The sequence below is a fragment of the Homo sapiens genome, chromosome 13 (assembly GCF_000001405.40).
Source record: "Homo sapiens chromosome 13, GRCh38.p14 Primary Assembly".
In the NCBI taxonomy this organism is placed as follows: domain Eukaryota; kingdom Metazoa; phylum Chordata; class Mammalia; order Primates; family Hominidae; genus Homo; species Homo sapiens.
The window spans coordinates 46,739,051-46,762,085 of record NC_000013.11 but is presented as its reverse complement, the minus strand read 5'-3'; the positions used below and the strand labels follow the sequence as shown (position 1 = coordinate 46,762,085).

Below are 23,035 nucleotides of genomic sequence, written 5' to 3'. Positions count from 1 at the left end.
TCTGCCTTTCTGTTCTATCTGAGCCCTTGGCCGATTGGGTGGTGCCCGCCCTCATTGGTGAGGGCAGGTTTTGTTTACTCAGTTCACTGACCCAAATGCCAGTCTCCTCCTGGAGGCAGCCTCACAGACACACCCAGAAATTATGCTTTACCAGTTATCTGGGCCTCCCTTAATCGAGTCAAGTTAACACCTAAAATCAACCATCACACCACTCGATAAGCATTGGGTATTGTATTTAGTTTTCCTCATCACTTATATCCATGACTTCCCTTATTTAGATTCCTGTAAGAAAAATGAACTATTGTGGGGTCTTTTCATGCTCTTTCCCCATTGAAATTATTATTTGTCTAATACGAGCTCGATAAAAGAGGTTTATTGAGAAATGAACATAAAGCAGACACAGATTATTTTTTCAGGGGTGCCAAGGTGAAAGAAATAATCTGGAGGGGATGGGGAAAAAACTCACCAAAAAGGAGACATTGTCCGTAAGTCTTGAAGGCTCAGTAGCACTTCATAAAGTCAAGAAGAGGTGAGCGGGTATTCCAAGGAGCAGGCGTAGCACAGGGAACAAAGACATGGGAGCACCTGGAAAGAGGAGACTGGAGTGGCTGCAGCAGAGGGTGTTAGCAGTAGGACGGAAACAGTCTGGGAAGGGCAAGCATAGCACCAAAATCAATTGTGTGAGTAATAGTAAAGTGCTGAATATGTTTCCAGTAGGGAAGAGACATGATAAGACTTGCTTTTTCTAAATATTATTGTAGCAGCAGAGAAGGGAGGAAGAAGAGGAGGGAGACAAGGTGACAAATGAGCCATTGACCACTTACCCAGGGTGAGCTGATCAGGGCAGGCGCTAAGGTAGCAGGGAGAAAGAGGAGAGGCTGGGGCTGAGAGATGTTTCTGAGGGAGGATCTGCGGGGCTTAGTGACAGACTGAAAAGGACAGGAACACATCAGTGGTCATCCTGCAGTGTCTAGCTTGGGAGGCTGGGAAGATGATGAAATCACTGAACCGGGAAACGCATATAAAGAAGGAGTTTGGGGAGGTGCAGAGGGAGGTCAATTTTAAACATATTTGCAGGACCCATAGGACATCCAAGTGAAGATACCCAGAATGGACCTAGCATTGTGAAGATATACAGAGTTATAAGTTACCTAGGCTGGTGGACACCACCAGAGATCTTCAGCATGGATGGAAGAGTGCCAAGCATTTCATTTCCAGGAGGGCAGGGGTTGGGCACAGAAACAGAAGCCTATGAAGAAGATGGAAAAATAAAAACATTGAGATAAAAATTGTACTAAGAGAGAACTGGCTTTCAAGAAGCAAGTTTTCAATGATCTCATATGCCACAGGAAGGTCAAATAGAACAAGGACTGAAAAGAGGCCATTGGATCTGGCAACTGAGATGTGGGACCCATGACCAAAAAGTATTTTCAATGAAGTGGTATGGTTAGAAGAAGAAATGAAGGCATTTGTCCATTCATTTATTCAACAAATATTCATCAAGCACCTATTATATATCAGGCCATGTTCTAAGCCTTGAGGATATGGTAGTAAACAAAACCAAGACCTCTATTCTTTCTAAGTTTACACTCCAGCATTGCTTATAGAATACTCTTTAAAGAACTTAACAGGGAGAGGAGAAACTAGACAGTATTTTGAGGGAAAAGATGAAGTCAAGAAAAGTATCTTTCTTATAGCCTGGTAATGTTTGAATTTGTGGCTGAATAATTAAACTATAGGTGGAGAGGAGAGGGTGGAGGAGGAGATCAAGAGACAAAGAGAGAGAGAGAGAACAAATAACATAAAATCTCCCAAGGCTGTGGAGTTGGCATCTAACCTTGGGAGGGAGAAGTGCCATCTACTCCTCCAAGACAGGAAATAAGTTGACACTTCACTGCTGAGGCCCTCATTTTCCTTGTAAATTAAGAGGCAAGCTGGGGACAGACTGAACGAGATTTGAGACAACACTTTGGAAGAGCTGAAGCAGGAAGCAGGAAAAGAAGCCAACGGCACAAAGTCAATATTCAAGCAGAGTTCTGCCCAGTTAAGCAATAAAATTATGTGGCAAGGAGTTCTGTTACCTCACCACCTACACATTCAGTCTAACTAGAGGCTGTGTGGAGTCTTCCAAGGCAGTAGACATGTCTTCTCCCCTTCCCCTTCCTCTGGCTTTTGTGACTGTAGCAGATGTCTATGTGGAAATCAACTTAGAGGACAGCAAATTTTTTTTTTTTTTTTTTTTTTTTTTTTGGAGACAGTCTTGCTGTAGTCACCAGCTATCTGGGACTACAGCACGAGCCACCATGCCCCTGCTAATTTTTGTATGTTTTGTTTGTTTGTTTTTGTAGAGGAGGGGTTTTGCCATGTTGCTCAGGCTGGTCTCAAACTCCTAGGCTCAAGTGATCCATCACCCTCAGTCTCCCAAAGTGCTGGGATTATAAGCATGAGAAACTGTGCCTGGCCTTTTTTTCTCAGAGAAAAGCGATAGTTGTGTCTTAGTCTGTGTGCATTGTTATAAAGGAATACCTGAGGCTGGGTGATTTATAAAGAAAGGAGGTTTACTTGGCTCGGGGTTCTACATGAAGCATGATGTCAGCATCTGCTGCTGGTGAGGGCTTCAAGCTGCTTCCACTTATGGTGGAAGGTGAAGGGGAGCCTGTGTGCAGAGATCACATGCCAAGAGTGAAAGCAAGAGAGAGGGGGAAGGTGCCAGCCTCTTTTCAACAACCAATTGTGACAGGAACTAAGAGTGAGAACTCACTCCTGGCAGAATGGCACCAAGCCATTCATGAGAAACCCACTCCCATGATCCAAACACCTCCCACTATGCTCCACCTCCAGCGCTGGGATGAAATTTCAACATGAAACTTGGTAGAACCAAACAAACCATATCTAACCTATAGCAAGTTGTTAGGAGAGTTTATTGGCCAAGTACCCCATTTTATTTACTTTGGCATTCCTAGTCACATTGGAAAGCGGCAGCCTATCCGCTATTCCTCCCCAGTCTCATCCCCACCTTGCCCCATTTTATGACTCACAAGTACCAATATGTTGCTCACTGCCTTTAAATGCTCAGTGACTTCTTATCATGGGTGTTGCTGACCCAATTTATCTTTGCAACCAGCATTAAAAAGCACAGAGCATAATGGTCAGATGGATTTTCTATAGGTAACTGCCTGCCATGACTTTGGTGTCATCGCCTCTCTCACCTTGTCAGTAAATGTCACTTTACCTTCATCCAGATGATGACTGTCTTGCATTCTCGATGACGCTGTGCTTCACGCAGCGATCCTCAGCTCCAGACCTGCCTGACAGCATCCTCTGCCCATAAACACACGTACTTCTGAAAAGAAAGATCTACAGGTAGGACACAGCTGTCTTAGCCCTGGGTTTGTACTGACACAGATTTCCAGCCTACTTATTTAGACAGTCTTTCTCAAGTGTTTGCTGGGCTTTCTTATTATTCATATATAAACAGAAATTAGTGTGTGGCATCACTTTCTGTCTTTTTACTTTCAGTCTATGCCCTTATATCTCGTTGTGTCTGTAAATATATAGTTGCTTTTCTTGGAAATCCAATCTGCCTTTCAGCTATCTAGTTTCTTGCTATTTATCATGCTTGCTGATGTATCTGAGTTTATTTCTGCTCTGTTATTTGGGTCCCTTCCTTTACTCTGTTCCTTCTGCTTCTTCTCCCCAGTCTACATCCTTCCTTACTTTTGGAAGGGACTTTCTAACTTTATATTCTTCTCTTTACTGATCTGAAAGTGATAGACACTCTTGTCTTTTCATTAAAGTTTTAACATTTACATTTAACATGATTGAAAATGCAACAATGCATCTACCCTCCTCCAAAATAGCAAGAAACTGAAATATTTTAACTGAGATCAAGCCTTTTCATCTTGTATGTAGTACTGGCCAGCATTTTCTTTCTATTTTTGTTTTGTTTTGCTTTTCAGCAACTCCTACCCTAAATTAGCCATTAATGTCATTAACGTACAGCCAATGTTTGTTTGGATATGCACACATAGTTACATGTTTATCTTTTGGCCACTGTTTTTTTTTTGTGGGGGGGGCGGTTAGACCTTCCTTCTCCCTGAAATACATCATTCAGTGAAAGTGTGTTGATAGTGAATTACGTTTTTGTTTGTCTGAAAATATTAAGCTATTTTCTCTCAGTTCTTTCTTCCTTCCTTTCTTTCTTTTCTTCTTTTTCTTTCTTCCTGTCTTCCTTTTCTTTCTTCTCTTTCTTTTCTTCCTTCCTTTTTTCTTTTTCCTTCTTTCCCCTTCCTTCCTCCCTTCCTCCCTGTCCCTCTCTTCTTTCTCTCTCTCTCTCTTTCATTCTTTTCTTTTTCTTTCTTTCTCTTTCTTTTCTGTCTTTTGAGACTGAGTCTCACTGTATCACCCAGGCTTGAGTGCAGTGGCACGATGTCAGCTCACTGCAACCTCCTGCTCCGGGGTTCAAGTGAATCTCTTTCCTCAGCCTCCCAAGTAGCTGGGATTACAGGTGCACGCCACCACACCCGGCTAATTTTTGTATTTTTAGTAGAGACAGGGTTTCACCATGTTGGCCAGGCTAGTCTCGAACTCCTGAGCTCGAGTGGTCCACCTGCCTTGGCCTCCCAAAGTGCTGGGATTACAGGCGTGAGCCATCACTCCCAGCCTCTCTCAGCACTTTGAAGAGATTATCATTGATTGGCTTCTGATTGTACTGCTGAGAGATCTGCTACAGTACTTTTTTCCCCTGTAGGTAATCTGTCCTTGCTTTTAGAATTGTCTTTATCTGCAGTTTTAGCTTCCTCTTTAGAGACTGTAGGGAGTTCCCTAATTTTCTTATGATAAACAAAGCATTAAACTAAGTATGTGTTTATTTTATTACACATTTCTAGGCGTGTTGTTGAGGGAAGTTTTCTTTGTGTGTGTGTAAATACGTCAGTTCTCTCTTGGGAGCTTGGCTGGGATACCTCTGCGGTATGAGACATTCTGTGCCATTTCCCAGAGCTTTCTGCATGGCGGGGCTTCAGTCACTCCCTGTGGAGCTGGTTTAGGAACACAGCCCCTATTGGCCATCTTCTCTTTCCTGCAGTACCTCCTCACCCCCCTGCTGGCTCCCAGTGCCCCTCAAAGACCTAAGGGCCCATGTCTTTATTTTAGGTCTGTATACTTGTAAAGGAAGCCTCTAAAATATTCTGTCAGTGCCTGTCCAGGGAACTCCACCTTTCCCTATAGTAAACAATACTACCCAGTGGGGGATCAGGGGGTGCAGGGAATGCATAAAATCTAACATTAACAAGAAAAAAAGTCAATATGTAAAGTTTTAATATGTAAAAATGTATAAGATGTCTCAAAGAAAATATCCCAAAGGTTTAATCATTACCTATAAGGTGGAATTCTGGATCATTTTCCCCAACTACTTTTATACCTGCCAAAGCTTCTATATTATGCATGTGTCAAAGGATTCCCTATTTAATAAATAGTGCTGGGAAAACTGGCTAGCCATATGTAGAAAGCTGAAACTGGATCCCTTCCTTACGCCTTATACAAAAATTAATTCCAGATGGATTAAAGACTTAAATGTTGGACCTAAAACCATAAAAAACCCTAGAAGAAAACCTAGGCATTACCATTCAGGACATCGGCATGGGCAAGGACTTCATGTCTAAAACACCAAAAGCAATGGCAACAAAAGCCAAAATTGACAAATGGGATCTAATTAAACTAAAGAGCTTCTGCACAGCAAAAGAAACTACCATCAGAGTGAACAGGCAACCTACAGAATGGGAGAAAATTTTTGCAATCTACTCATCTGACAAAGGGCTAATATGCAGAATCTACAATGAACTCAAACAAATTTACAAGAAAAAAACAAACAACCCCATCAAAAAGTGGGTGAAGGATATGAACAGACACTTCTCAAAAGAAGACATTTATGCAGCCAAAAGACACATGAAAAAATGCTCATCATCACTGGCCATCAGAGAAATGCAAATCAAAACGACAATGAGATACCATCTCACACCAGTTAGAATGGCAGTCATTAAAAAGTCAGGAAACAACAAGTGCTGGAGAGGATGTGGAGAAATAGGAACACTTTTACACTGTTGGTGGGACTGTAAACTAGTTCAACCATTGTAGAAGTCAGTGTGGCGATTCCTCAGGGATCTAGAACTAGAAATACCATTTGACCCAGCCATCCCATTACTGAATATATACCCAAAGGATTATAAAACATGCTGCTATAAAGACACATGCGCACGTATGTTTATTGCGGCACTATTCACAATAGCAAAGACTTGGAACCAACCCAAATGTCCAACAACGATAGACTGGATTAAGAAAATGTGGCACATATACACCATGGAATACTATGCAGCCATAAAAAATGATGAGTTCATGTCCTCTGTAGGGACATGGATGAAGCTGGAAACCATCATTCTCAGCAAACTATTGCGAGGACAAAAAACCAAACACCACATGTTCCCACTCATAGGTGGGAACTGAACAATGAGAACACATGGACACAGGAAGGGGAACATCACACACTGGGGCCTGTTGTGGGGTGGGGGGATGGGGGGAGGGATAGCATTAGGAGATATACCTAATGTTAAATGATAACTTAGTGGGTGCAGCACACCAACATGGCACATGTATACATATGTAACACACCTGCACGTTGTGCACATGTACCCTGAAACTTAAAGTATAATAAAAAAATAAAAACAAATTATTACATTAAAAAAAAAACCATGTATCACTTTGATAAACAGGGAGAAAATTCCAAAATGAAACAACAACAACATAGTAATATTGAATTAAATTCAAGGAGAGAAATGGCAACGAAATTAAAGCCTTCTTCAGTAAATCCCTTTTATCCTGCTCTTTGTGGTTTGGCCTTGATGTGACTTAGCATTCAGACTAGTCCAGGTAAGACTCAGTTGATCAGGTTTTAGCATGTGACTATGCTTGCTTTTCTAGGTTTAAACATTCTAATAATTGCCCAGGAATTTTTTTTAACTTTAGAAACTTCAATGGAGTCAACTCTGCTGGGAAGCCCTTCTCTTCAGTGAGGGTACAGACCTGACCTAGCTGAGCCTCTATCTGACTCTTTCTTACCTGCTGTGACCTTGAACAGATTACCTGAACAACTGAGTCTCAGCTTCTACTCATTAGTTTGCATTCTTAATTAGAGCTGAGAGAAGCCCAGCTGAAACTGATTTTATGCAAAAGTTGTAGCCTCTTGGAAGTACTCATGAAAGATTTAACTACCTGGGCTTCAGAAATACAGGATTTCTTTCTTACTGGACCCAAACTTCAGGGTTTTTTTTGCTGTCTCTTGTGCCTCTGTCTTTCTGTAGGCCAGTTTCTCCCTAGATCTTTTGTAGGTTTTATGTCTTCTGTCTTCGGTCACCAGGAAAAGAATTAAAATCCCAAAGAAGAGACTTGCAAGTCAATTGTGAGGAAGGTGCAGCTCCTGAATGGATGAACCATAGCCAGGTGGGCAGTGCTATGTATGGGCCACAAATCTTTGTGGTATATGAGGCAGGAGCAGTTCCTACTCCTAGGAGTATGTGGTGTTAGGTGAACAGTCCCTTGGTGTCCACTACAAATCTCTTCCTTACAGGGTTATGTAAGTTTTTGAGCTAATGTGTGTAAAGTTTATTTCACCTCTTCAGTAGACACTGCTGCACTGTTCTAGGCATTGGCGATTCAGCAAAGAACAAAACAGACAAGCAGCCTTGTTCTAATGGGGCACACAGCTGAGATACAACACTCGACCCACAGTAGCTACTCAATAAATTACGCGTTTCCCTGTTGCTCCAGCAAGTTTAAGATGGAAAGTGTCTGTGAAGAGCTGGACTTCTGTAATATGCAGAGGGACAACTAAAAGATTTTGGGATTTGGCACAGTTGCAGCGCCTCAAAGGAAAACACCATGGGCCATGTACAGAGTGTCTTGACTCAGTAAATGAGGATCTTAAATGCAGAGGTCCTGATACTGCTCCCTGAAGGCCCTGCTCAGGCTAGCAGTTTCGGGTCTGTGTGTATTTTATGTGGGGTGGGGTGGGGTGAGAACGTGGAAATGATGTTACTATATTCACTTGAATTTCTCAAAGCAGCTGCTGTCTACCAAAGGTAGGCTAGCCCTGTGAGGAAAACAAGACTGGCCCAGATCTAGTGGTGTAATCAAGGCAACCATTTCATTCTCTGGGTGTCAGATACCACAGTTGAGGAGGGAGGCCCAGATTCTGTGGTTTTCACAACATGGGCCAAGAAATCTTAAGTGTTCTCAAATATGCCCAAAAAACAAGTAGGGGTCCTGAATCCATGCTTTCACCTGAACTCCAAATCCATCATAGCAAATTTGTTACTCCTGTTATGTTACGCTATAAGTTTTAGTTTGGGAGAAAAAAAGAGTATCCTGAGGGGTGTGTGTGTGTGTGTGTGTGTGTGTGTGTTATCGACAGATAGATGGATAGAGTCATTCTTCTGATAGCTATACATGAATATACAGTCATGTACACATAACAACATTTTGGTCAATGATGAACTAAATATACAACAGTGGTCTCCGAAGATTATATAATACCATATTTTTACTGTACCTTTCCAATGTTTAACTATGTTTAGATACACAAATACTTACCATTGTGTTACAACAGCCTACATTATTCAGTATAGTATCATGCTGTGCAGGTTTGCGTCCTGGGAGCAATAGGCCACATAGCCTAGGTGTGTGGTCGGCTATACTAAGTGTGTAAATATACTCTATGATGTTTGCACAATGACGAAATCACCTAATGACACGTTTCTCAGATATATCCCTGTTGTCACATGATGCATTACTATATATTCTTTCTCCAAATTTTATACACACCCAGCCATACATACATATAACATATACATATTATGTGCACATATACATAAATATACATGATTGCTACAATCTGTTTCAGCAATGACACCCTATGATGTGTGTGTGTGTGTGTGTGTGTGTGTGTGTGACCGGGGTCAACCTTTTTGATGGGTAAGTCAATCACAAAGTGGTTTGTACAAATCCAAGATTTTAATGGCTGTTAAATAATAAAAGGAAGGATATTTGCACTATATACATTCTGTCCACTGACGATACTGTCAGCTGGCCATGCATTTTATTGCACATATAAACAGTGTACAAGGATCTTGAAGACGTCTTAGCCATAGAAGGACTGCATTTAAAAGAAAAAAAAGCAATTTTACAGAAGACTGAAGCCATTTACATTACACAACCAACTTCAAGAAAATAATAAAAATTAATATCAAAAGAAATACTTTAATTTTGAAAAAAAAATCTCTCAAAACAATGATTACAAAGCTTCATGCTACCATATATACACGTAAGAAAATATTTCAGGACCCCGCATTCTGAATGCCCGTGAAGGTGCAGCAGGCTAAACTCCTACTTATATAGTCAACCTTTGAATGTTGCTTAAATTGTATACACTCTTTGTCCAAAATGTTTCTTTACATCATTATGCTATTTGACAAAACAGGTATTTGTGCAGTACAGAAAAATATTAAAATACATTTTAAGTTAGGTTAAAGTGCACAGTACATCTGATAGGAAATAACTGCTAGCTGCCAATCCAAATTTCCGTTTTCAGAAACCTCCCCCCATCTTCCCAAGAGTGGAGGGCAGCCATTGCCTTGGTTGATGTTGGTCTGTGCTGACTGCACACTGAATCCTCCTCCTGGTGGTGTCTTTTCTTTTGCGTCCCCCTCTACATTTGTCTTACAAACTGTGGCTGCTGCTGCTCTAAAAACTTCCAATGGCTTTTCGAGGAGGTGAAAGTGCAGTCAGCATTCACAAGACTTAGAAAGGTTAATTACTGGGACATCTGTGATTGCAGCGTGAGTGCACATGCATGGAACTGCCTGCAGAAGGCTGCCGTGTTCCGTGAATCTCTGAGAGCAGCATGGGTTCCACTCCTTGGCTGGTTCTTCTCTAGCCCTATTTTGTTGCACTTGCTCCCTCCTCAGCCACTCAGCCTCACAAACTCCACTTACTGCACCCTCCCCTTAGCCTGCCTTGGTGGTGCTGCCCACAGGCTCACAACGACTCACTTCTGAGGTTTCACACCAGAGACTGTGAATCTTGCAGGATTTTACAGACTACTTGGAAAACCACCAACCACCAAATTAAAATAAAATGAGCACATCTCAGAATCATTTCCTCTTTTAAAACTGGCAGTTGTAAGAAGTGCTGGTTTCCTGATTCAGGTCCTATGTGCCTTAAGTAATTTCTGATACTCAGTCGAAGCTTCCCTTCAAACCCTTTTTGGTTCAACAATCAACTTTTTATCATCTCCACTTTCCTATGCCATTTCTTCATTATCTACCTTTGGTGCTAAGCTCTCTTTAACGTAACCCAAGTTACAGTGCAAAAGTATACTTCAAGACACACGATGCTAACACTTATTATTTCTTTGTGTTAAAACGTGAATGTTTTGTGCATAGCAAAAGAAGTATGAATCCAAAAAATAATTGTTCACATTTTAGCTTCAAGTTTAATATGTCTTTTTTTTTTCCATCACAGCTATTTACAAATAACTTTGGGGTGCTCTCTTGATTTTAGTCAGTTCATTATATTGGGGGACAGAGGGCTGCTGGAATGTAGGAAACTGGATGGAATGCAGAAATATAAATAAGACCAACGTTCCACAAACCAAAGTGTCAATATTGCCTCCCCAGAAAAGTTGTGTCCTAAAAGCACCTGTTTTTCGCTTTTTTTTGGAATCATATATACCAGAAACATTACTGAGACCTAAACTACCGCACACCAAAGAGGATAGAAAATAACTCAACATTTATATTAAAATAAAGTGTTTAACCACAAAAAAGCAGTAATAAAATAGTTTCCTAATTTACAATTTGCATCCAAAGGATGAATAACAACTCACTAATAAATAATATTTATATAAATATTTTGTATGTCGAAAATAGTTTTTTAAAAGGCAATGGTCTCAAGAAACCTCTCGAAAAATTTGGTGGTGAAAAACCTGATTGTGCCCCCCTCCCCCCACTAAATACATAACGAGTTTGGTTTTAATAAAACGAATGCGTCTTGCTGCAAAACGGTTGTGCTTGGCGTTTTGGTAATGGCAGTCGGTGAGTGTGGAAAGGATGAAGGAGGGTGGAAAAGGCATTGATGTGCTGCTCAGTTTTTTTTTCCTCCAGCTCCCTCTCTGGTTTCAAGATAAATACCTGTCAAGTCTTAAAGTCGGAGGTCAGCTCTGAAAGGTAGAAAATCCTCCCTTAGACTGAAAATTGTTTCAATGTAACTGGAGTCAGTGAAGTGACAGGCAGTGGGTGGGAGAGAGGGTTGAACAGGTGCCTGGAGCAGAGTTCAGGATCCTGGATGAGAGCAGAGTCTGAGCCCCCAATGGAGAAGGGGTAGTTTCATGTGAACAGAGCCTTCGTTACGGTGATGTCTAGTAATGCTTGAATGGTAATGCCCACTTTGACCAGGCCTTTTTCTTCAAGGATGTGGTGGGGGAGACATAGCTTTTCCTAAAAGGAAAAAGAATAAAACATCAATTTTTAGATGATTGTACTCTCATTGTAAAATCCTGCTACATCGTTGATGACATCAAAGTTAGGTTGAATACTCTAGTATGCCTGTTTGATCACCTACACCAAGCTCCTTCCTTTGCTTTCAACCTACTGCAAAGACCTTTTCTATGTTTGCAGAGAAAATAATGATTTTTCACACATGCAGTTTGTTTCAAAAAGGCTCCTAATCACCATGAAGTCTGCAGATCTAAATATTTAAGAAAGTTTTACACTAAATAACTGAGCTACAGAGTCAGTCAGAGAGCATACACCAAGAATATAATAGCTTCTATTTTTATAAAGCAAAACTGCAAATAGCCCCTGACACATTTTAAAGGCACTCAAATATTCATTTGTACCGACCACACATTGTTATACTGACCATAGAACTTCATTGAGTTCATTTTACTTCCTGTGACCTCTGGAACGCAGGCAAGTGGGTGGACTGGCAGCCTTTCTTCATGGTTTATGAACAGTCTTTATAAATTGGTAATTATAACTACAGCCCTCAATAGCCTCCCTTTCAAGACTCTTTCATAAAACTGTCAAAGACACATATGTCCTGCTACTCTCTCATGCTGCATTTTTGCTCTTGGGAAATGTCCAGGACATACTATTTAAGAAAAACAGTAAGCGTGAGTCCCTCCTTGTGTGCAGAACCTTTCATGCTCCACAAACCAGTTTACAGAATAACACAATGAAATAATTTTCCACCTTTGTTATTTCACCCTGGTCTGATATCATTCAAGAGAATCTTCTTCCAGGGTGTGTCTCCTTGGCTGGAAAAAGACACCACGGCAAATATTCTTTTATCTACTTGATGACAGTGTGTTTTCCACAGCCCAATGTTTACTTTTTCTTTTTTCTTTTCTTTGACAGGAAAAAAAAAATTGTATTTATTTATGGTGTCCAGCATGATATTTTGATAAAAGTATACATTGTGGAATGGCTAAGTCAAGCTAATTATCATATCCATTATCTCAGATACTTATTTTTTGGTAAGAACACTTAAAATAGAGTCTTTTATCAATTTTCAAGTATAAAATACATTATGATGAACTATAGTCACCATTTTGTATCCTTTGACCAATATCTTCCTATCCCCACCTCCCCACCCAGCCCCTGGTAACCACCATTCTACTCTCTGCTTTTGTGAATTCAACGTTTTTAGATTCCACGTATTAGTGAGGTCACGCAGTATTTGTCTGTCAGTGCCTGGCTTATTTTACTTAGCATAATATCGTCTAGGTTCATCCATGTTGTTGCAAATGACAGGATTTCCTTCTTTTTAAGGCTGAGTAGCGCTGTTTTGAAGGAGAGTTTAAGTGGGATCTGCATCCAGCCCTAGGTGATGGAGTCACTGTTCAGCAGGAAGCCAATTGGTGTGCTCTGCAAGGAAGGGCTTCCTTCCACGTGACACTTGCTTGAGGAACCAGATCTTCTTGCTGCCTCAATGCAGAACTCTCCAAAAATTACCGGAGACACAGGCACTCTGTGCTTAAAAGACTTTCAAAGGACATGACATGACATCTCCAATAACTTGTTCCACTGTCTCAAATGTCAGTGGGTCTTACTCTCTCACCATCTTACCGTATCTGCTTTTCACCCTTCCCTACCTTGTGGCAAATTCAGAGAACATCAGACTTTAACCTAGGCCTTAAGAGATGGCCCCCTGTCAACAGAAGACAGTCGATTCTTTAAAGAACAATTTTAACCATGGTTTCATGTCATTGCTGTGTATCAAAGTAGGATTATCTTGTCAATGGCGTATCAGGTGAGCATGGAAGTTCATGCTGCCTGACAATTTATTAGCCAAGTATCAACCTGAGAAAGGATGGGGGAGTTCTGTCTGAGTTGTGAGCTGTGAGCCAGGCTGTTAACAATGGTGCCTCCTTTTGCGGCATGGTGAGGGATATCTGTGGCCTGATGACAGTGTCCAGCCTCCCCGGCACCATCTGCCACGGGCTTGTGAAATCACTTGAATCTGGCATTTCACTGTTAAGGCAGGTTCTATAAGGGCAAAGATATGTCTTCCTCATTCTATTGGCTCTGACAGCACCCAAGTCGACATCTGGCTTTGCAGGAAATTGTAAATGGCTGTTAAGTACAGTTAAGTTCCTGGTGCCAGATATTACTTGGGGAAAACAATTCTTTACTTCATACCATATGTTAAAATCAATTTGAAATCAAATAAAGAGTTGAACATTAAAAAAAAAAAAATCTACAACACCCCTCCCAATAACATAAAGGTGAATATTTAGTACTTTTTTCTGATAAATGGATGGGAAAGGATTTCCTAAGCTAAAAAAGCATTATGAAAAAGTCACAAAGGAAAAGAGCAAAGCAACTGATTACCTAAATATTTAAAGCATCCATGTGTTAAAAAAACAAGCCCGATTAATAAGAAGATAAGTAACACTTTAAAAAAAAGTATTTGCATCAAATTACAAAGGGAACAATGTGTATGGTGGCTCATGCCTGTAATCCAAGCACTTTGGGAGGCTGAGGCTGGAAGATCACTTGAGGCCAAGAGTTCGAGACTAACCTGGTCAACATAGTGAGACCCCCATTTCTCCAAAAAAATTAAAGAAAATTAGCTGGACATGGTGGTGTGCACCTGTGGTCCCAGCTACTTGGGAGGCTGAGGTGGGAGGATCATTTGAGCCCAGGAATTTGAGGCTGTAGTGAGCTATGATTGTGCCACTGCACTCTAGCCTGGGCAATAGAGCCATACCCCATCTCAAAAAAAAAAAAAATTACAAAGCATTTTATATGACACATAAGCTCAACAAATCAGTAGGAAAAACACTAACAAATCAACAGAACACTGGGCAAGGAATGTGAACAGCAATTTTTGAATGAGGGATTTGCCTAAGGCAGTGCAGCACGACATTTTGCTTTTCAACCTCAGTGTTTAGTTATGTGTAGTCTAGAATGTGCCTGAATTCTAGCACGAGTATTCCCATAGAGCCTAATCTCTGTGAACGACACAGCTTATATGGAGCAAGGTGTCCTATCCTGTGTCCTGAAAGGAGAGTGGCATGTGTCCTCCAATGAAGGACTGACCCCAGGGCCTGATGAGCAGTGGCTCCAGTGGCCTGCAGGGTTCTAAGCTGAAGGGCATGCGAGGGAAAGGCTGGGGGCTTCACAGAAACGGGGATGGGAAGGTATCGAGGCCTCAGCCTCCTGCCAACAGGACATTTGGACACTTCACAGACTGAGTTAGGTGAAGGGCACCCTCTTTCCCAGGCCCTTGTTTTTTCAAGCAGCATTCCTCGCCTTCCTGGTCTCCACATTCCAAGCCAGGTGCAGAGTCCGAGATCCTCCCTCCTGCTTGTATGGCTAGTGATGAGGAGTAAACAGAAGACATAAAAAGATACCCCTCAAATTCTTCCTGCCTCTTTTCAGACCCCCTGAGGAAGCCCAGAGGTGCCCTCAGATTACTTTGCTGAGGTTGGAGGGATGTAAGAAGACTCACACAGGAAAACAGAAACCTTATACAAGCATGGCCATTCTGGTTATTCTATCACAGGATTGGAATGAAGACTCTGGTGGGAATTACACCTTGAGGTGCTGGTTGGAAGGATGGCCAAGGGGAGGCTTCCAACCAGGAGGCGTCCCAAGAAGGGGTCAGGGCCATTTGCCATCACACCAGTCAGGACACTGCATCTCCCACAGAGTGGGGGGATCCTTGAAGTGTGCACAGAAGCTGGACTTAGGAATGAATCATGGTAGGTTTACAGCTGGATGAGGAATGACTCAGAAGAGAAGGGCCCTCTAAGGATCAGGCAGGTAAAGTGGCCCTTCCAGCAGGCCCCTTGTTCATAATGGACTTACAGCAGAGACAGCTGTACCTTTATATTGACTTGAAATGAATTTAAGTTGCACTGTTATAGGATCCCGGAGATTTTTGTTGAGAACGTGACAGTAGACTCTTAGTTTGCCCATGGGCTTTTTTTGTTGTGTTTCTTTTTAAAGTACGGAGCGGAGTCATGAAGTAGTCTCCTGCATAAAAATAATGCTTCTGACCGCCTTTGAAGAACTCATGCTTCAAGTTACTTCTCCAATGGTAGAATCTGTTAGGTTCACCCATATCCCCTCATCCACCCTTCTGAGCCACAGCAAACGACATTGGAAAAGACGGCAAGCCATAAAGACTAAATGCTAGCTTTGAAAAACTTCTGGGCTACCTCCTATGTGCCTGGCACCAACACTACAGGTTTGTATTGGTGATTTCTTTATGATAACCCTGCAAGACAGACATTAATATCTCCATTTCACAGATGAGAAAACTAATATAGAGAGAGAGTTCAAGTAACTTTGTGACACTAAACAGCTGGTAAGTCCTGGAACCAGGGTTTGAACTACATGTGTCTTAGAGCCAGGGCTCTTTCCACAATACTATGCCTCCTCCCATAAATCTCTTACTTAATGGTTAAATATGTTAGGTCTGCGGTCATGATATAGGAAGAGGTCCCGTGGCCCCTGGAGTTTTTTGATGGCTAGTCCCATCAATTTCAATGTCAGATGGGACCAGCGAACCCTCAACTCAGTGTCAGGGTTAGCTCTGCCACTCAGCTCATCTTGTCCTGGCAGGAAACACCTGCTGGGAACAGGATGAGCCGTCACTGCCTGACTCTCCTCCTTCTACAGTTTCTTATGCTCCCAAAGAGACCCACACTTCTAAGCCAGCCACTAGCCTAAAATGGCATCATCCCACCAGCATATTTCATTTTGTTCAGGCTGCTTCTTATATATAAAGTCCTGGCACTACACTGTTTGAGCTTTAAAACTATCTGTGTGTTATTTTGATGTACGAGAGCTTTAAGTTCCTGCATCAGTTTCTTCAATGTGAAATGGAGACCATTCAACATCTTACAGAGATTTCTTGTTGCTCCTCCCTGGATTATTTACTTTGCAACCATGCTACCTTCTAGTCCATCCTCTCCCTAGAACACTTCATTCTCTACACACACATATGCCTCAACCCTAGTCCCTCTCCCCTCCCCACTCCACCTGGCTATTCCTGAACGTTTGCTAAGTCTCAGTGGAAACACCACCATCCCAGGATGCGTTCACGGTCCCCTATTCCCCATCAGGGTCAGGTCTCTTTTCCAGAATCCTGTACCCGTTCCACCACAGGTCCTTATCACTTGAATTCCTCTTTACTTGTCTAAGGACCTACTAGATCAAGGGTGGCAAACTATGGCCTACAGGCTAATCCAGCCCGCAGCCAGTTTTTGTAAATAAAGTTTTATTGGCACACAGCCACACCTATGTTTGATGTATTGTCTAAGGCTGCATTTATGGTACACAAGCAGAACTGGGTAATCCCAACAGAATCTGCATGGCCCAAGAAGCCTAAAATGTTTCCTTTAGGCCCTTTATGAAACAAGCTTGCAGACTCCTGCTATAGACTGTAAGCTTTTTGAGGACCAGGCCATGTGTCCCAGTGACTTTTTTATCCCCAGGGCCTTGCAGAGATTGCTCATTCAATATTTATGGAATGAAGGAATGAACACAAAAATGAACAAAGTCACAGTGAAAAGCCAGGCAACTAGACTCTGACCATCTTAAAGAAGAAAAAAAGGGCACATTCTATATACCAAATTGATTGTTTATTGAGAACTAATTTTGAAATACGAAGCCTAATTTTTAAAAATCAAGTCTCCTGAAATAAAATCATATTAAAGTATTTTTCACCTAATCCAAAACAACTTTCAGTTTCTTAAAATTTTAAAATATCATCCCTACTTTTTCCCCACAGGCAAAGGCAAAACACCCTTTTGTCCTTATGACTCAATCAGGCATCTACATGAGTTTTCGAGAGATAACCCAGCTCACCACGCGCTAGTTTTAATTTCTTACAAACAAATAGCAGCAGGCTATCAAGTGCCTTTATTTATCTACTCTCATTGATGAAATTTATACTCGATTATCATACATTGTAGTTCTGCGGGGCCCCTTTCCACCAGCCCCATTTCATAAGTGTCTCTCCCTAAAAATAACAAACCAGAAATCCATAAATAGGAAAGATGATTAGAAATTAGGTGTCACAAATTTTGGAATTCCTGACACTGAGTGGAGAGTTGCCACCAGTTGGAGAAACTGGAGAAAGAGAATACAAATGGCTATTTCAAAATAAAATGTAAATAGATACTTGGCTCCTTTTATCTAACATTGGAAGGGAGTACTGAAAAAACGGTCTTTCTTGTGAGGAGGAGATTTGGTCAGCACAATAAACCACTCAGTGACATCCCTGACTACTTCTCAGACTCTAAGGAGGTCAGCCAGGTATCCCCAGTCAAGCTGCAAGGGCAGGCATCCGCAGGCATCCAGTTAGCATATGGGCTGGTGCACGGGTACCTTGGAGAAAAACCACAGAGAAGCTTAATATTCTGATTAGAAATTAATGGGTTGGCAATGGACAGAACAGTTCATTCAAATTTTTGCCTAAAGGACTAAATTAATTGTGTTCTGCTAGTTACCATACTACTAATGAAAAAACATCATCCAATAAATCCCAAGAAGTGCAGCGCAGCAGAGTACAGACAAATTAATGACACAAAAAAAATCAAAGTGCGTCCAAAGAATACTTTGGATGCCAGAATTAAAATATAAATGTCTTTTAATTTGTCTTTAACATGTTTTAATTGAACTATATCAACACTGAAAATTAAATCTACTCTTACATGAGTGTCCTACTCAGTTTTTATTGATATTATTTTAAGGTGGCAACCCAGTAAGTTTTCTTTTTTTTTTTCCCATTTTCTCCCCAGAAAGAAGGGAAAAACCACCACAGTGGTGACCATTAAAGAGAAGCCTCAATGCACTGCAGAGCTGGATGGGAATGCTGAGAGCTCATGAATACATGTATCAATGGGCTGATAAAAACTTGGAATAATCACCCAAAATGTGTTTATTAAGCAATTTATGGCTCAGGGTGCTCATTAGACATCGTACAAAGGGATTTTATTGTGTTACAGATTGAAGAGTACAAGATAGCACCAAAAGTAATTCAGTACATCTGTGGGTTATTCATATACAACTGAGGTTAATTAGATAACTTCCACATACCCTGCATTTCACCAATCAACACAAAGTCAGGAGGAAAAAAAACTCACATAACTCAAGATACTGTCATGTAAAGAATGCTTCCTGTTAGCAAATCTGATCTGACTTAGCAGCAAGGAATCTTTATAAATATATTCTTCTAACTATGTGGGTCTTCCATATTTTCAAGTCCCCTGGATTCATGAAAATGTTCAGAAAAATAAGATTTTCTTCGTAGTAGCCATCTATGAGAGCTGTTTGCATCTTAATAAACTAGAAATTTATCTTGAGGAAGCTAAGTCCATCATCTCCCCAAGCTAAGAAACAAGATTTGGCAAACAGCATGTAAAATAAGGAGGCTGCCTTGACCTTGGAACAAGGCCCTCTCATATTATACAAAGACACCCCTGAATCCAGGGACATTCTGGCTAAGATAAAATTCTTTTTTTTCCTTTTAAATGCAAACTGATCACATTGCTCCAAATGCAGATATAGTTACTATATAATCCTTTGAGCTGACTTAAAGCAGTTTGCTAGTTAATATCAGTGAAAATCAAAGGCTAAATGAACATTTCAAATAATTAGAGAAACTACATTCTTCTAGAATGAAAGTAATCTTCTTCTTGACTCCTGCCATCATAACCCAAGCACCAGGACCAAGAATGTTCCACGGCTCATGGCTTTATTTGAAAATGAATAGAGTCGAATCCGTCACATTCTGGACCGGCAGTTACTATGTGATGTGGCAAAAAAGCAGTGATCCGTTCCATTGTTCAAAAATAGAAATCTCTCTGGAAAACGCTTTTCTAAGAGCCTCAAGAGAAGACCTAACAAGGAATTAAGCAGTAAAAAACTGGTGTTTAAGTGACTCCTCCACGTGAGGCTCTAACAGCAACGACACTTCCTTCCCTTGAGCGCCCTTCTGCATAGGACAGAGGGGCTTGCCGGGGTGGAAGTTGGCGGCCACACTGCCCAGCGCCCTTCGCGGCTCCCTTTTTAGGAAATTTGGGAGGAATCCAATCGAATGGCCATCAAGGCAGTGTGAGTACGTGTACACGTCCAACTTGGTCAGTAGTGGTATTATTAAAGTTTTGTATAGATCAAGTTGGGCCAAAATGTTAGTTTTCTGTCCTCCCTGCAAGGTGGCCCCTATACAGCTCAATTGCCCAGTCCCGAATTAGAATTCTAGTTCAATACTGACCCAAAGGAAAGACTTCCATATGCTAAATCCCTGTCCTTGACACTCTTGTCCTGGAATTCTCCTCCCCTCTGCCCAGGGCAGCAGCTCACCGGGAGGGAGAGGAGGAACTGCGTGGCACTGCTGCTGGCACTATGTGGATGAGGAAGCATGCGGTGTGCATACACTTTGCAGTCGTCGTCGTTGTATTTCAGTAAGTGAGAGGAATTATACTAAACTGTATTCTACAAAGTTTGTGCTTCTGGAAAATCTGATTTGCTACTGTTCAGCTTCAAAACTCGAGAGATAACTGAAGACATGACAGGGATGGAAGTTTGCAAGGCAAAGGCTCAAAGGTAGGAAGGACCCTGCAAAGGTTGAGGGCGACAGAGCACAGCGTTTGGATGCACGTGCAGACATTATGCGGACAGAGCATTCCAGTGGTAAGTGATATAGACCAGCACTATAAAGAGAATATGGACAAGACAGAAGCCTATAAGGTCCCTGGAGCGGAGGGCAGAAGTTGGTGGTGGGGCTTTCTCCCCGAGTGCCAGCAGAGTGTCAACAGTCTTTCGAATGTGACGAAAATCCAACTGCAGGATGTCACACGGAGAGCAGAGGTCAGCCTATTCCGAGGGCAGCCATTAGAACAGAAAGAGACAGTGCATACAATTAAAAATACACGGAGGAACAGCTAGAAAGAAGCACACATTTTTGGTTACTAGCAAATGGCAGGAGTAACCCCTTATTTCAAGCAGGTAAGACCCTTTCATCATCAAAGATTTTTTAATCCATCATAATAGTAGAATAGAATACCTATTTTGTGCCAATGGGTCAAAGAAATCCTTCACTCACAATCTCGCCATGGAGGAACGGCCTGTTCTGCAATTTACACATCATTCTGCCTTTCACACAGTTTTAATATTCAAGGTATCATGTGCTCATCAGTGGCATAAAAATAAGATTTTCACGTGGGACATTTCAACTTAACCTTACTAAATGAAAAACTATAAAGTTTAAAATGGAATCCCTACCCCCACTCTCCATTCTCTTAGTGCATTTTTTACCCTGGTCTATGTAGACTTGGATATAAAGTAGTTCTCTCTGAAAGTTAACACACACATTTAATTTTTTTTTTCATTTTACGCTTGATAAACTCTGGGCAATGCTAGTTCTAAGTATGTCCCTACATGTGTCAGAAAGTACATTACATTTCATATTTTTGCAACAACACATTAACCAAAAGTCTAGGGGAGGCTTCTTGGATGTGTAGTGAGAGTAGAGAGTAAAAGTACACCCCCACATGGAGTTACTATGTAAATTGCTTCACTACTAAACAGGTATATTGGGGCAGGGGGGGTAGACCTCTGTGTTTTATCTACTCAACAGTCACCATGTAAGGAAGCAGAACACCTATTTCTCAGCTAACTGCAAACTAAGAGGCTCAGTTTTCTGCGTTGACTTTCAGCAGCCTATTGCTGTCAGAAAGCAAACAATTGTCTCACATGCTGAATTCCTGAACCGGAAATGACCACAGTTTAAAATTAACAGGAATTATAATTGATATATTAGCAAGAAATAAAAGCTGTGGTTCTGTTTCCAAATTAAACAAAGATTGAAAATACGTGTGATCTATTTCATAAATGCAGTTTTATTTACAAATTAGGTGAGGCATTTAAGATATATGTTATGTATATTTTACATACTTTGCTACAATTTTGTCCTTTATTTTGGCCTCACTGCTAAGCAGCTGCACATCATGGAGTGACTGAAAGATGTTTCTAAGTTAGAAGTTTTGCCTCACTTGTGTCCTCTGAAGTTAGCTCGATACCCTCAGTTAAGTAGGAATACTACAAAATTAGGTTGGTTGAATAAGATTAAAAACATTCTAATTTTATTTTATTAATGAAGTTAGAGATACTCTTAACAAAATATTTTTAAGATGAATAAATCATGTTATATGTATTCAGATGTTGTATCTTTTCTCAGTGGATCTGGAGAAATCAAGCTACCACTGTTAGGGTTCTCCCAAGAATTAAAACAGCTACACATAAATTGGATTTCACTGGGAGACTGATGCTGCTCATGGATTAATAGATGAGGAAACATCTAAGAAAAGTTTTCTATTGCAATAAGAATTTTCTATTGCAATGTTGTGCTTGACCAGGGAAATCCGAGCAAAGCAGTCATAAGACAGAAGGCTGATATGCAAACTGAAATGTGATTTTCACAAAACTAGTATTTTCATGTTAAAAGCAGATGATTCTATCTTCACCAAGTATTTCAATACATTTCGCAGAACCCTAAGGAACATGTCTGGTCTGCTCTCTGGCAGCACCATCAGAGAACTAGAGTCAGATCAACTTGGCAGTTTTCAGTAGTACACTCCTCATGGGGGCAGGCAACACAGACCATTCTTCTCATCCAGGAAACAATTTCACGATGCCACAGACTCTGGGCTTAATTAAAGTGGGTGAGACCTAGAGTCACAGCCTATAGTGGTTAATTTAAATTAAATCATAATCTCTAAAGAAAAAGGAATGGATCTAAGACTGTCTAGTAGGCAAAAATGTGAAGCACCATGATGATTGTGTGGAGTGTGAGCTGCTGTGGCCATCTGAGAACTGCTCTCTGATTCAACCCTATGTCACATAGCCAACAGTCATTTCAGCCCTTGAAATGGGGCCATGAAGCAAACCAGGGCTAAAATTCCTAATTTCTGACCTGGGAGGTTCTGCCCTTTGTGCTTTCCAAAATTTAGCCTTACTGAGAGGGACGTAGAGATTATACTTTATTTCTTTATGAAAATTAAAATTGGAAAATGCTAAAAAGTAAGGAAATTTAAAGAGGCAAAATTTCACCATGTATTTACAAAGCATTTGTAATCACTGCAAGCCATTTGTAAAACACAGTTAATTCACTAAGAGTCCCCAGAGGCAAGTGCGGATGCTAATGCCCATTATAGTGAACAAAAATCACAATCGCCAGAGGTTAAGAAATTCACTTAGGTTGCACACAACCAGAGTGTGTGACCGAGATTACTACTGGACCAGGTTCCCCAAATACTATGGATACAAAGAGAAAAGTAGACAGATCCAGCAGTTCAGGGTGTACTACAGTCTAAATTCTAAGAGCTAAACATATCTAGGCAGAAGTTTTATTTAAAACTTTGGAATATATTTACTTTACTTAAATATAATCTTAATATAAAAAGTCA

The 23,035-nt window shown here is 41.0% G+C and overlaps 1 protein-coding gene and 1 long non-coding RNA gene across 5 annotated transcripts in view; both read right to left on the bottom strand.

The window, feature by feature from the left end:
* Positions 1-453: 453 nt before the first annotated feature.
* On the bottom strand, positions 454-1,928 carry LOC107984563 (uncharacterized). Its single transcript, XR_001749983.2, has 3 exons — positions 1,838-1,928; positions 1,152-1,249; positions 454-585 (listed from the first exon to the last, which is right to left on the bottom strand). It is a non-coding gene; the product is annotated as an uncharacterized LOC107984563 (long non-coding RNA).
* Positions 9,045-23,035, bottom strand: part of LRCH1 (leucine rich repeats and calponin homology domain containing 1) — a 199,872-nt gene continuing 185,881 nt past the window's right edge. For 2 of the 4 annotated variants that reach the window (XM_017020483.2, NM_001164213.2), the window contains one exon: positions 9,045-11,546. In XM_017020483.2, coding sequence (XP_016875972.1) covers positions 11,436-11,546 — 111 coding nt within the window. In that variant the 3' untranslated portion in view covers positions 9,045-11,435. Of the gene's footprint in view, positions 11,547-17,187; positions 20,445-23,035 lie in introns of those variants that run through there. The other 2 variants (NM_001164211.2, NM_015116.3) reach the window with 1 other exon arrangement.